This window comes from Homo sapiens, chromosome 3 (assembly GCF_000001405.40).
Source record: "Homo sapiens chromosome 3, GRCh38.p14 Primary Assembly".
Lineage (NCBI taxonomy): Eukaryota > Metazoa > Chordata > Mammalia > Primates > Hominidae > Homo > Homo sapiens.
This window is the reverse complement of record NC_000003.12, coordinates 196327903-196340815: the sequence shown is the minus strand read 5'-3', so window position 1 is coordinate 196340815 and position 12913 is coordinate 196327903. Positions and strand designations below refer to the sequence as shown.

The following is a 12913-nucleotide window of genomic DNA, read 5'->3' as shown; positions in this document are numbered from 1 at the left end:
GGGAAAACATTCACAATAAATTTACCTGATAAAGGTCTCATACCTGGAATTATAATGAACCAGAAAACAGAAAAAAAGATAACCCATAACAAATGGGCAAAAACCATGGACGGGAACTTCTCAAAGAGGATCTTCAAATGGCTAATACGTATATGAAAAGGTGCTTACTCATCAAGGAGATGCAAATTCAAACACAAGGAGATTACACTAAACACCCACCACAATGCCTAAAATTAAAAATGTTTGTGAGAATGTGTAGAAACTGGAACTGTCACACACTGCTGGTGGGTGTGTAAATTAGGACTACTTTGGGAATCTGTTTGGCAATATCTGCCAAAATTAAATATTCACCTGCCCTATGATAGCAATCCTACTCCTAAGAATATTCCCTGGAAAAATTAGTGCATAGTTCCTTCAAAAGACATGCAGAAGAATATTCATAGCAGCATTATTTATAACAGGCAAAAGTTGAAAATATAAATGTCCATTAAGAGTAGAAAAAGTTGTAATATCCAATGTAATAATACTCAGCAATAAAAGAAAAATAAATTACATGATGGATGAATCTTACATATAGAATATTGAGTGAAGAAAGCCACACACAAAAGCCATACTGGGCTGGGCGCGGTGGCGCACGCTTGTAATCCAGCACTTTGGGAGGCCGAGGCAGGAGGATCACTTGAGCCTAGGAGTTCGAGACCAGACTGGGCTACATGGTGAGACCCCATCTGTACACGAAATTAAAAAATCAGCTGGCGTGGTGGCGCTTGCCTGTGGTCCCAGCTACTCAGGAGGCTGAAGTGTGAGGATCACTTGAGCCTATGAAGGCAAAAGGCTGCAGTGAGTCATGATTGTGCCACTGCACTCCCGCCTGGATGACACAGCAAAACCGCCTTTTTTTTTTTTTTTTTTAAAGAAAACTGTTTGATTCCATTTATGTGAAATTCAAGAACAACTAAAACCTAATCAATTATTATAAGAGCCAAAATGAAAGTTAACACTGGGGACAAGGGATACGAATGACAGGCGACACAATGAAACCTCTGGGGATTTGGAATGTCCTGTATCTTGATTTCTGTGCTGGTTCACCAGGGTATACATGTAAAAATTCATCAGACTTTAACATTAAGATTTGTGCACTTTAGGCTGGGCGTGCTGGCTCACACCTGTAATCCCAGCACTTTGGGAGGCGGAGGCGGGTGGATCGCCTGAGGTCGGGAGTTTGAGACCAGCCTGACCAACATGGAGAAACCGTGTTTCTACTAAAAATACAAAATTAGCCAGGCGTGGTGGCACGTGCCTGTAATCCCAGCTACTTGGGAGGCTGAGGCAGGAGAATTGCTTGAAGCCAGGAGGCAGAGGTTGCAGTGAGCTGAGATTGTGCCACTGCACTCCAGCCTGGGAACAAGAGTGAAACTCCGTCTCAAAAAAAAAAAAAAGAAAAGAAAAGATTTGTGCACTTTACTGTATATAATATCTAGATGTTTAAAATGCAATGGGAGCATAGAGAAAGAAGTACCTAACTCGGAGTAAAGAAATCCTGGCAGACTTCACTGGGAATGTTTGAACTGAATCTTGAATAGGAGCTTGTCCATAGAGGGTCACGGATCTCCCACACAGAGAGCACCACAAAATCCTCAGCAATTTGGTGAGAGTATGGTACAAGATGATAGTGGCCTGGGGCTTGAACAAGAGGCTGAGTGCGGTGGCTCACACCTGTAATCTCAGCACTTTGGGAGGCTGAGGCGAACACCTGAGGTCAGCAGTTCGAGACCAGCCTGGCCAAAATGGCAAAACCCCGTCTCTATTAAAAATACAAACATTAGCCGGGCATGGTGGCAGGTGCCTGTAATCCCAGCTACTCAGGAGGCTGAGGTGGGAGGATTGCTTGAGTGTGGGAGGCGGAGGTTGCAGTGAGCCGAGATCATGCCACTGCACTCCAGCCTGGGTGACAGAGTGAGACCCTGTCTCAAAAAAAAAAAAAAAAAAAAGTTAGACGTCTAGTACAGGAACCATGCAACACATCGAGTCAGCCAAGGGCAAGGTAAGGAGAGTGATGAGGAAAAAGGGGTGGCTGCCCTGCTCGGTGCTGTTCTGTCAAAGAGCCGAAATTCTTCGCGGGGTGGCAGATGAGGACAGGAACAGCTGGGGTGTGGCAAGTGTTGCTGCCTGGGGAGAGCGGAGGGTGAGGTGTTTCTCACGGGTGCATCCAGTGACTCATCAGGACAGCGGAGCTCATGAGGCCATGTCTCCCGTTTCCTGCCTTAGAATCACATGAAAATGAGCAGAGGGTGGGTCATCAGGACAGGGCTCTCCGGGGAGCGGAAGCGCCTTCAATGCAGGCCTGTGGGCAGGGGCGTGGGGGCGCGCACACACACACGCCTGGGTGACCTCTACGTATATACAGAGCCTCCCTGGCCCTCCTGGAAAGAGTCCTGGAAAGACAACCTTCAGGTCCAGCCCTGGAGCTGGAGGAGTGGAGCCCCACTCTGAAGACGCAGCCTTTCTCCAGGTTCTGTCTCTCCCATTCTGATTCTTGACACCAGATGCAGGTAAGCAGAGATGAAAGGGTGAGGTGACGGCCAGGGAACAGCCTAGCCTCACAGATGAGAGTGCACGCTTCCACTCCAGTGAGCCTGGCTCTGCAGCTTGGCGTCTGTGTGACTTTGCGCCATTCACTTACCTTCTCCTGTTGCCTCAGTCTGTCAACTTCTGGCCTTTGCACCTAGAATACTCTTCCTGCCTAGTATCTCATCGTCCATCAAGTTTGGGCATGGGCAGCCCTTCCTCCGGGAAGCTTCGTTTTGCTTCTGCCAGATAGGATTAGGTTCCTCCATGTGCTTCCATGACACCTTAAGTTGGATGCCCCTGCCTGGTACTTACTGTTACCAGCTGTGAATCCAGCGAGTCTGCAGCAAACTCAATCCTTGCCTTCTCGGGGGAGAGATTCGGCTGAGGGGCAGAAGTGGGTTTAAGGCAGAGGGAGAGGCTGAAGCAAGTTTGAGAGCAGGAGTGAAGGTTTATTAAAAAGTTTTTGAGCAGCAATGAAAGGAAGTAAAGTACACTTGGAAAAGGGCCAAGTGCGTGACTTGAGACACCCAAATGTGCTGTTAGACCCTTGACTTGGCGCCTGCCTGCCGCACAGGCACTTGGGAGGGGCCGCATGCGCAGTGTGTTTACTGAAGTCGTGCGCATGCTCACTTGAGGCGTTTTTCCCTTACCCGCGGAGCAGCACTAGAGGAAGGTCACACACACCAGCTAAACTCCACCATTTTGCTTCTTAGTGTAGATGCTTGAGCCCACTCGCCCAATTCCTGAGCTCTTACCAGGAAGCTGCTGATCACCAAGTTCAGGTATTTTCTATCTATTGGGAGACTGTCTTTCCCAACGCTGGCTGTGACCAATATTATTTTAGAAAGACAGTGTAACAACCGCCTGGCCATCACCTGATAGTCACCTGACATTACTGGGGTAGAGGCCCTCTCCCGCCCTGCTCATGTCTGCTCTATTTCTTACCACACTTGATTAGAATTACTTTTTGGCCAGCCTGACCCACATGGCGAAAACCCATCACTACTAAAAATACAAAATTAGCCGGGCGTGGTGCATGCCTGTAATTCCAGCTACTTGGGAGGCTGAGGCAGGAGAATAACTTGAACCCGAGAGGCGGAGGTTGCAGTGAGCCAAGAGCATGCCGCTGCACTCCAGCCTGGGCAACAAGAGCGAGACTGTGTCTCAAAAAAAAAAAAAAAAAAAAAAAAAAAGAATTGCTTTTTGCGTCAGCAGTGTCCCCACTAGACTTTAAGCTCCTCAAGGAAAGGGATTACATCTTTTTCATCGTTATATCCCTAGCCCCCCAAGTGTCTGTCAGGTAGTGATCACTTAATAAATATCCGACTGAAGGAAGAATGAAAGAAAAGCCTTGCTGGGTGGCGAGGGAGAGACACAGATGTAGAGAATGTGCGGTCTCTTCCTCCATGGAATTGAGCCGATCACTTCTGTTGTTGCCTGGACATCTAGCCGATGACGTGCTCACCTAGCTAGGACCTCAGGACAGAACAAGGAACTCCCCAGCAGCCTGGTTTTAAGGTTTTACCTTCTGATCTTGCTTGTCTCTTCAGATATCAAATTAGGCCACCTCTTTGCTAACCTCCTGGTTCACATTTTTGGAAGGGTTTCTCCAAATGTTATAATTTCTAGGGGAATAAAGTCAGGAGGAGGGGTGAAATTCACACGAAGCCGCAGTGCGGCAAGTGCTTTTAGTGTTTGATTGGCGGACAGCCAGGGCTCTGAATTCCACTCATCCAAAAGCCATGCTCCAGCTGGTAGTTTTCCCTCGCTGTCCATCATTTTTAGTTTCCCCTTTAAGAGTTTTCTGGGCTGGGCGCTGTGGCTCACACCTGTAATCCCAGCACTTTAGGAGGCCAAGGTAGGTGAATCACCTGAGGTCAGGAGTTCAAGACCAGCGTGGCTAACCTGGAGAAACCCCATCTCTACTAAAAATACAAAATTAGCCGGGCGTAGTGGTGTGCACCTGTAATCCCAGCTACTCAGGAGTCTGAGGCAGGAGAATCACTTGAACCCAGGAGGCGGAGGTAGCAGTGAGCTGAGGCCGCGCCATTGCACTCCAGCCTGGGCAACAAGAGTGAAACTCTGTCTCAAAAAAAAAACAAAAAACAAAACAAAAACAAAAACAAAAAAAACAGACTTTTCTGATGGGAACGTTTTCTGTAGAAGAGATCGTCAGGGGGGTTGATGTTGCTGAAGTGTGTAGACGGTGCTTTCTCAGAGGTGCCGTGATTTGAAGGCACTAAATGCATTCCTGCACAACGGCGTCTCCTGGCCCCATGATCTAGAGCACCCGCTTGAAAGGCCAACCACACACCCATCTTTCCTTGGGCCCCGGTCAGACATCTGGGTGGGCAGTGGATTAAAGTTGTGAGTTGTTAACACCCTGGGTGGTTAATTTGCCTCAACACAGAATTACACACTGCAAGCCCCGCACTGCACGATGGGACCGTCTCGGAGGGAGGATGTGCAGACATGCGGGGACATCGCAGCAGTGTGGGCAGGCTGTGAGGGGGCCGTTCTCCACAGGCGCCCTGCTCCCAGGAGCAGGACAGGTTCCTTGCTGTGACTGAGGAGTCCGGTGGCCTGTCAGCCAGAGGGTTGATGGGGGAAGAGACACCCCATCCCTCCCGATTCCTGACCCCACCCTGCCCCAGGACCCTTGGGCCCCTGGGGTAGGAGTCACTGTTGCTTCATATCCTACGCCCACCCTCTCAGGGCACCCCACCTCTCTCCTACCCCCACCCTCCCAGGGCACCCCTCCCCTCTCCTACCCCCACCCTCCCAGGGCACCCCTCCCCTCTCCTACCCACACCCTCCCAGGGCACCCCTCCCCTCTCCTACCCACACCCTCCCAGTGCACCCCTCCCCTCTCCTACCCCCACCCTCCCAGTGCACCCCTCCTCTTTCCTACAACCCCTCCCCAAGCACCCCTGCCCTCTCCTGCCCCCACCCTCCCCATGCACCCCTCCCCTCTGCTACCTCCACCCTCCCCGTGCATCCCTCCCCTCTCCTACCCCCACTCTCCCTGTGCACTCCTCCCCTGTCCTCTGGCCACCCTCCCAGGGCACCTCTCCCCTCTCCTACCCCCACCCTCCCAGAGCACCCCTCCCCTCTCCAACCCCCACCTTCTCAGGGCATCCCTTCCCTCTCCTACCCCCACCCTCCCAGTGCACCCCTCCCTTCTCCTAACCCCCACCTTCTCAGGGCATCCCTTCCCTCTCCTACACCCACCCTCCCAGTGCACCCCTCCCTTCTCCTAACCCCCACCTTCTCAGGGCACCCTTCCCTCTCCTACACCCACCCTCCCAGTGCACCCCTCCCTTCTCCTAACCCCCACCTTCTCAGGGCACCCTTCCCTCTCCTACACCCACCCTCCCAGTGCACCCCTCCCTTCTCCTAACCCCCACCTTCTCAGGGCACCCTTCCTCTCTCCTACCCCCACCCTCCCAGGGCACCCCTCCCCTTGTCTTCTTTACCATAAGCTACAGTCTGGCCGGGTTTGGTGGCTCACACCTGTAATTCCAGCACTTTGGGAAACCGAGGCAGGAGGATCACTTGAGACCAGGAGTTCAAGACCAGCCTGGCCAACATGGTGAAACCCTGTCTTTACTAAAAATACAAAAATTAGCCGGGCATGGTGGTGTGCAGCTGTAGTCCCAGCTACTGGGGAGTCTGAGGCAGAACAATCGCTTGAACCGGGGAGGCGGAGGTTGCAGTGAGCTGAGATCGCGCCACTGCACTCCAGCCTGAGCGACAGAGTGAGACTCTGTCTCAAGAAAAAAAAAAATTATTTATCCTGGACCGGGTCTGTTTCTGAGCTCCAGCCTGGGAGACAGAGCAAGACTCCATCTCAAAAAAAAAAAGAAAAAGAAAAGAAAAGCTACAGTCTTGAAAAATGGAAAACACCCGACTAAACAAGTTTCTAAAACAATTCTGAGTTCCTAAGTCGTAAAACTGTTTTTAAAAGGATATGTTGAAGATGAAATATAGGATAGTAGTTCCTAGGAAGGAATCCAGAAAGAAGGCAGGATTGGAGAGGGCACACCTGAGTGTCAGTGATGTGATGGGTAATGACGTATGTTTGATATTGGTTGTGTTTACATGGGTGTTAATTATCTCACACAAGTTACAAATATATTTTACACATTATGTTTAATTCTTTTTTAATGCAATTTTTTTTTTTTGAGACGGAGTCTCGATCTGTGGTCCAGGCTGGAGTGCAGTGGTGCGATCTTGGCTCACTGCAACCTCTGCCTCCCAGGTTCAAGTGATTCTTCTGCCTCAGCCTCCTGAGTAGCTGGGATTACAGGCGCACACCACCATTCCCAGCTAAGTTTTGTATTTTTAGTAGAGATGAGGTTTCGCCAGGTTGGCCAGGCTGTCTTGAACTCCTGACCTCAAGTGATCCACCCGCCTCGGCCTCCCACAGTGCTGGGATTATAGGCGTGAACTACTGCACCTGGCCTTTAATGCAAATTTTAAAAATATAATTTCAACTTTTATTTTAGATCCGGGGATACATATACAGGCTTGTTCCGTGTCTATTGTGTGATGTTGAGGTTAGGGTATGAGTGATTCCCGTCACTCAGGTAGTGAGCGCGGTACCTACAGATAGTTTTTCAGCCCTGGCCCTCCCCCAATGTTTAATTCTTCATGCTGTGAAATATTTCATTATTTATGTGTGATGTAAAGTAATCCCCCCTTAACTGAAGCTTTGCTTTCCAAAGTTTTAGCTATCTGTGGTCAACTGCAGTTCAAAAAACTTACATAAAATATTTTCAATGAGAAAGACCACATTCACATAACTTTCATTACAGTATGTTGTTATAACTGTTCTATTTTATTATTATTGTTGCGAACTTCTTACTATGCCTGATTTATAAATTAAACTTTATTACAGATATGTATGTATAGGAAAAAGCATAGTACAGACAGTCCTCTACTTATAGTGGTTTGACTTCTAAGTTTCCAACTTTACGACAGGTTTCTAGGGACCTAACTCCATCATCAGTGAACTCCTTACCCTTTATGATGGGATTACGGTTTCTACTGAATACTCATTGCTTTTGCACCATCACAAAGTCAAAAGTAAATTGGGACTGGGCGTGGTGGCTTACGCCTGTAATCCCAACATTTTGGGAGGTGGAGGTGAGAGGATCACTTGAGGCCAGGAGTTTGAGATCAGCTTGGGCAACATAGTGAGACCCTGTCTCTATAGAACTAAAACATTAGCCAGGTATGGTGGCGCATGCCTGCGGTCTCAGCTATCCGAGAGACTGAGGTGGGAGGATCACTTGAGCCCAGATCAGGGCTGCAGTGAACAATGATTGTGCTACTGCACTCCAGCCTGGGTGACAGAGCAAGACCCTGTCTCAAAAAAAAAAAAAAAAAAAAAATTGTAAGTTGAACCATTGTGAGTCAGGGACAGTCTACTGTGTTGCCAGCATTAAATGCCTTTTGAACTTAGGATATTTTGACTTACAACGGGTTTATAGGAGTTCGACCCCATCATAAGTGGAGAAGCATCTGAATATACAGAGTTTGGTATGATCTGTGGTTTCAGGTATCCGCTGGAGCTCTTGGAACATATCCCCTGCAGATATGGGGGACTATTGTGTGTGTGTGTGTGTGTACGTACACACATATATACGCACATTATACATTATATGTATATGATATATATGTGTGTGTGCATATATATAGAGCCTCTGATCCATATCTTTTATATATATATATATTTTTTTTCTTCCCTTCCCCTTCCCCTTCCTCTTTCCTTCCTTCCTTTCCTTTCTTCCTTCCTCCCTCCCTCCCTCCCTCTCTCCCTCCTCTCTCTCTCTCTCTTTTGCTCTGTCACCCAGGCTGGAGTGCAGTGGCGTGATCTGGGCTCACTGCCACCTCTGCCTCTCGGGCTCAAGCGATTCTCCTGCCTCAAGCTCCTGAGTAGCTTGGATTACAGGCGCACACCACCACGCAGTTAATTTTTTTTTTTTGAGACCGAATCTCACTCTCTTGCCCAGGCTGGAGTGCACTGGCGTGATCTCAGCCCCCCAGGTTCACGCCATTCTACTGCCTCAGCCTCCCGAGTAGCTGGGACCACAGGCACCCGCCACCATGCCCAGCTAATTTTTTTGTATTTTTAGTAGAGACGGGGTTTCACCATGTTGGCCAGGTTGGTCGGAAACTCCTGACCTCGTGATCCACCCACCTCAGCCTCCCAAAGTGCTGGGGTTACAGGCGTGAGCCACCGTGCCTGGCCTCTATACACATATTTTCTGATTAGGTGCAAAGCAGTGTGTTATAGGCGTGTCAAGAGCCTCAAGTGGCCAAGTGCAGTGGCTCACGCCTGTCATCCTAGCACTTTAGGTGTCTGAAGTGGGAGGGCCCTTGAGCCAAGGAGTTTGAGACCAGCCTGGGCCACATAAGGAGACCTCACCTCTATTACATTTTTTTTTCTTCTGAGACGGAGTTTCACTCTTGTTGTCCAGGCTGGAGTGCAGTGGCGTAATCTCGGCTCACTGCAACCTCCACCTCCCGGGTTCAAGTGATTCTCCTGCCTCAGCCTTCCGAGTAGCTGGGATTACAGGCATGCGCCACCACGCCCGGCTAGTTTTGTATTTTTAGTAGAGATGGGGTTTCGTCATGATGGCCAGGCTGGTCTTGAACTCCTGACCTCAGGTGATCTGCCGGCTTTGGCCTCCCAAAGTGCTGGGATTACAGGCGTGAGCCACTGCACCCGGCTAAAAATAAATTTTTTTCAATAAAAAATAAATAAATAAATTAAATAAATAAATAAATAGCGAGCCTTAAGGGGAGACAGACGTGTAACTGAACTGCACAGTGGGAACAGGCCACTTCCTGGGGATGTCATGACGCTGACTTTTTTCAGATCCACATTGACATGAGTCTGCCCAAATATTACTAGTCCTATTTTAATTCATATATATATGTATATATATATATTTTTTTTTTAGATAGAGCTTCACTCTTGTTTCCTGGGCTGGAGTGCAATGGCACGATCTCTGCTCACTGCAACTTCTGCCTCCTGGGCTCAAGCGATTCTGCTGCCTCAGCCACCCGAGTAGCTGGGATTACAGGTGCCTGCCACCACGTCCAGCAATTTTTTTGTATTTTTTAATAGAGACACGGTTTCACCATGTTGACCAGGCTTATCTCAAACTCCTGACATCAGGCGATCCACCTGCCTTGGCCTCCCAAAGTGCTGGGATTACAGGTGTAAGTCACCGTGCCCGGCCTTAATTCATATTTTTCTAAAAAACAAGAAGTTCACATATCAATGAAAATATAAAAGAGAGGAACATAAGGAGTGGAAGAGGCATTTTATAATTTATCTAGATATGACATTTTAATTGTAATTAGCTTTATTGATATATAGTTAAAATTCAATAAAATTCACCTATTTTAAGTGCAAAGTTTAATGAGTTTTGTCAATATGTACAGTTATGTATTCACCACCAGAATCTAGACACAGAATGCTTCCACCCCTTCAGAAAGCTTCCCATGCCCCATACTAATCCTCTTTCCCATTCTCAGCCCATGGCAACCGCTCATCTGCTCTCCGTTAAAAGTTTTGCCTTTTCTAGAATTTCGTATATATAGAAACATGTGAGTAGTCTTTTGTTTCTGGCTTCTTCCACTTAACACAATGCTTTTGAGATTCATCCATGTTATATGTAGCAGAAATTTACGCATTTTATTACCTAATAGAACTCATTTGTATGGATAACACAATTTGTCTTGATTCACCTATTGATTACTGATAAGGATTTGAGTAATCACAAATTTTTTAATTGATTTTTTATTGTGGTAAAGTAACATCAGATTTGTCATTTTAACCATTTTAAAGTGTATAATTCAGTGACATTAATTACATTTGCAATGATGTGCAACCATTACCATTATCTATTTCCAAAACTTTTCTTCACCCCAAACAGAAAGTCTGTAACCCTTAAACCGTGGGCAGTGGCCCAGATCTGGTCATAGCTACTCTGGAGGCACGGGCTGGAGGATCATTTGAGTCCAGGAGTTGAAGACCAGCTGGGGTAACATAGTGAGACTGCATCTCTAAAAAAACCCCAAAACCACCGCGCGCGGTGGGAGGCCGAGGCGGGCAGATCACCTGAGGTCAGGAGTTCAAGACCAGCCTGGCCAACATAGTGAAACCCTGTCTCTACTAAAAATACAAAAATTAGCCAGGCGTGGTGGCACATGCCTGTAGTCCCAGCTACTTGGGAGGCTGAGGCAGGAGAATTGCTTGAGCCCAGGAGGCAGAGGTTGCAGTGAGCTGAGATTGCGCCACTGCACTCCAGCCTGGCTGACAGAGCAAGACTCTGTCTCAAAAAAAAAAAACAAAACAACACAAAACAAAACCTGAAAACCTCTGTAACCATTAAACAATAACTCCCCATTCTCTCCTCCCTCCCCACAGTCCCTGATAACCTCCAGTCTACTTTCTTTCTCTATAAAGTTGTTATTTTGAATATTTCATATAAGTGGAATCATACAATATTTGTCCTTTAGTGTCTGGCTTATTTCTTTTAGCATGATTTTTTTTTTTTAGATGGAGTCGCTTGCTCTTGTCGCCCAGGCTGAAGTGCAGTGGCGCGATCTCAGCTCACTGCAGCCTCTGCCTCCTGGGTTCAAGCGATTTTCCTGCCTCAACCTCCGAGTAGCTGGGATTATAGGCAAGCACCCAGCTGACATTTAAATTTTTAAGCAGTCTGATTAATCATGTTTTGTGGATTGTACTTTTTGCATTTTAGTAAGAAACCTTTATCTAACCCAAGGTCCCAGTGTTTTTCTCCTTTGTTTTATTCTAGAAATTTTATAAAGCTTTTAGACCCATGCTCCATTTCAAGTGAATTTTTGAATATGTTGTGAAGTAATAGTGAAGGCAGTTTTGTTTTGCATGTGCATTGTTCCGGCACCATTTGTGGAAGAGACTTTTTCCCGCTGAATTGTCATCTTCTTAAAAAATCATTTATTGGCCGGGCGCGGTGGCTCATGCCTGTAATCCCAGCACTTTGGGAGCCCGAGACAGGCGGATCACGAGGTCAGGAGATCAAGACCGTCCTGGCTAACACGGTGAAACCCCGTCTCTACTAAAAATACAAAAAATTACCGGGCATGGTGGCGGGCACCTGTAATCCCAGCTACTTGGGAGGCTGAGGCAGGAGAATCGCTTGAACCTGGGAGGCAGAGGTTGCAGTGAGCTGAGATCGCGCCACTGCACTCCAGCCTGAGCAACAGAGCGAGACTCCGTCTCAAGAAAAAAAAAAAATCATTTTTCCTGGACCGGGTCTGTTTCTGAGCTCCAGCCTGTTCCAGTAGTCCATATGTGTTTCCTTACGCGTGGCTTCAGTGTCTTCAATTACTGTAGCTTTGTAAGTCTTGAAATCACATGGCGTAAGTTCTCCAGCTTTGTTTGTTTTTCAGAATTGCTTTGGCTAATCTTCACAATTGCTTTGCATTTCCATATAAATTTAGATTCAGTTTGTCAATTTCTATAACAAAACTCTCCTAGGATTTTGACTGATATTGCTTTAAATCTTTGCATCAATTTAGGGAGAACATGTTAACTATTTTGAGTCTTCTGGTTCAGGAACATGGTATATGTCTCCATTTATTTAGGTCTCCATTAATTTTCTCAGCAATGCTTTGCAATTCTTACTATATAGGTCTTGCAAATATTTTGTTAAATTCATCCATATGTATTATATTTTTATGCTATTGTAAATGATATATTTTAATTTCAATCCTCAATTTGTCATTGCTTGTATATAGAAATACAATATAATTTTTGTATATTAATCTTTTATTCTATGACGTTGCTAAACTCACCTGTTAATTCTAATAAACTTTAGGATTTTCTACATAATGTGATCACATTATCTGTGAATAATAACAATGTTACTTTTTTTTTTTTTTAAGATGGAGTCTTGCTGTGTCACCCAGGCTGGAGTGCAGTGGCATGATCTCAGCTCACTGCAACCTCTGCCTCCCGGGTTCAAGCAATTCTCCTGCCTCAGTCTCCCCAGTAGCTGGGATTACAGGCACCCACCACCGTGCCCAGCTAATTTTTGTATTTTTAGTAGAGACGGGGTTTCACCATGTTGGCCAGGCTGGTCTTGAACTCCTGACCTCGTGATCCGCCTGCCTCAGCCTCCCAAAGTGCTGGGATTACAGGCCTGAGCCACCATGCCTGGCCGACAATATTACTTCTTTCTTTCCTATCTGTGTGGCTTTTGCTTCCTTTTATTTTCGTATTGCACTGGCCAGGACCAGTACAACGTTGAATAGAAGTGGAGACAATGGACATCATGAA

General features: G+C 46.9%; 1 protein-coding gene and 1 long non-coding RNA gene across 4 annotated transcripts in view, besides 3 other annotated features; both read left to right on the top strand.

The window, feature by feature from the left end:
- Positions 1705-2904: an enhancer, noted in NCBI's record as "BRD4-independent group 4 enhancer chr3:196064783-196065982 (GRCh37/hg19 assembly coordinates)". NCBI's record gives its function as "activates an origin of replication core promoter dependent on BRD2, P300/CBP, MED14 and CDK7 cofactors, and independent of BRD4, by STARR-seq in HCT116 cells {active_cell/tissue: HCT116}" and the evidence as "EXISTENCE:reporter gene assay evidence [ECO:0000049][PMID:35650434]".
- Positions 2044-2338: an enhancer, noted in NCBI's record as "tiled region #3422; HepG2 Activating DNase matched - State 10:DNaseD, and K562 Activating DNase unmatched - State 5:Enh". NCBI's record gives its function as "activates a minimal TATA promoter and a strong SV40 promoter by Sharpr-MPRA in HepG2 cells, with weaker activation in K562 cells {active_cell/tissue: HepG2 | K562}" and the evidence as "EXISTENCE:reporter gene assay evidence [ECO:0000049][PMID:27701403]".
- Positions 2124-2295: a silencer, noted in NCBI's record as "fragment chr3:196065392-196065563 (GRCh37/hg19 assembly coordinates)". NCBI's record gives its function as "represses an EF-1alpha promoter that drives an FKBP-Casp9 reporter gene in an ReSE screen in K562 erythroleukemia cells {active_cell/tissue: K562}" and the evidence as "EXISTENCE:reporter gene assay evidence [ECO:0000049][PMID:32094911]".
- Positions 2396-12913, top strand: part of TM4SF19-DYNLT2B (TM4SF19-DYNLT2B readthrough (NMD candidate)) — a 22336-nt gene continuing 11818 nt past the window's right edge. Inside the window, exon 1 of the long non-coding RNA NR_037950.1 lies at positions 2396-2552. This is a non-coding gene — a long non-coding RNA (TM4SF19-DYNLT2B readthrough (NMD candidate)). The remainder of the gene's footprint in view (positions 2553-12913) is intronic.
- Positions 2428-12913, top strand: part of TM4SF19 (transmembrane 4 L six family member 19) — a 14842-nt gene continuing 4356 nt past the window's right edge. For all 3 annotated transcript variants that reach the window (NM_001204898.2, NM_001204897.2, NM_138461.4), the window contains exon 1: positions 2428-2552. The gene's annotated coding sequence lies outside the window, so the exon portion shown is untranslated. The remainder of the gene's footprint in view (positions 2553-12913) is intronic.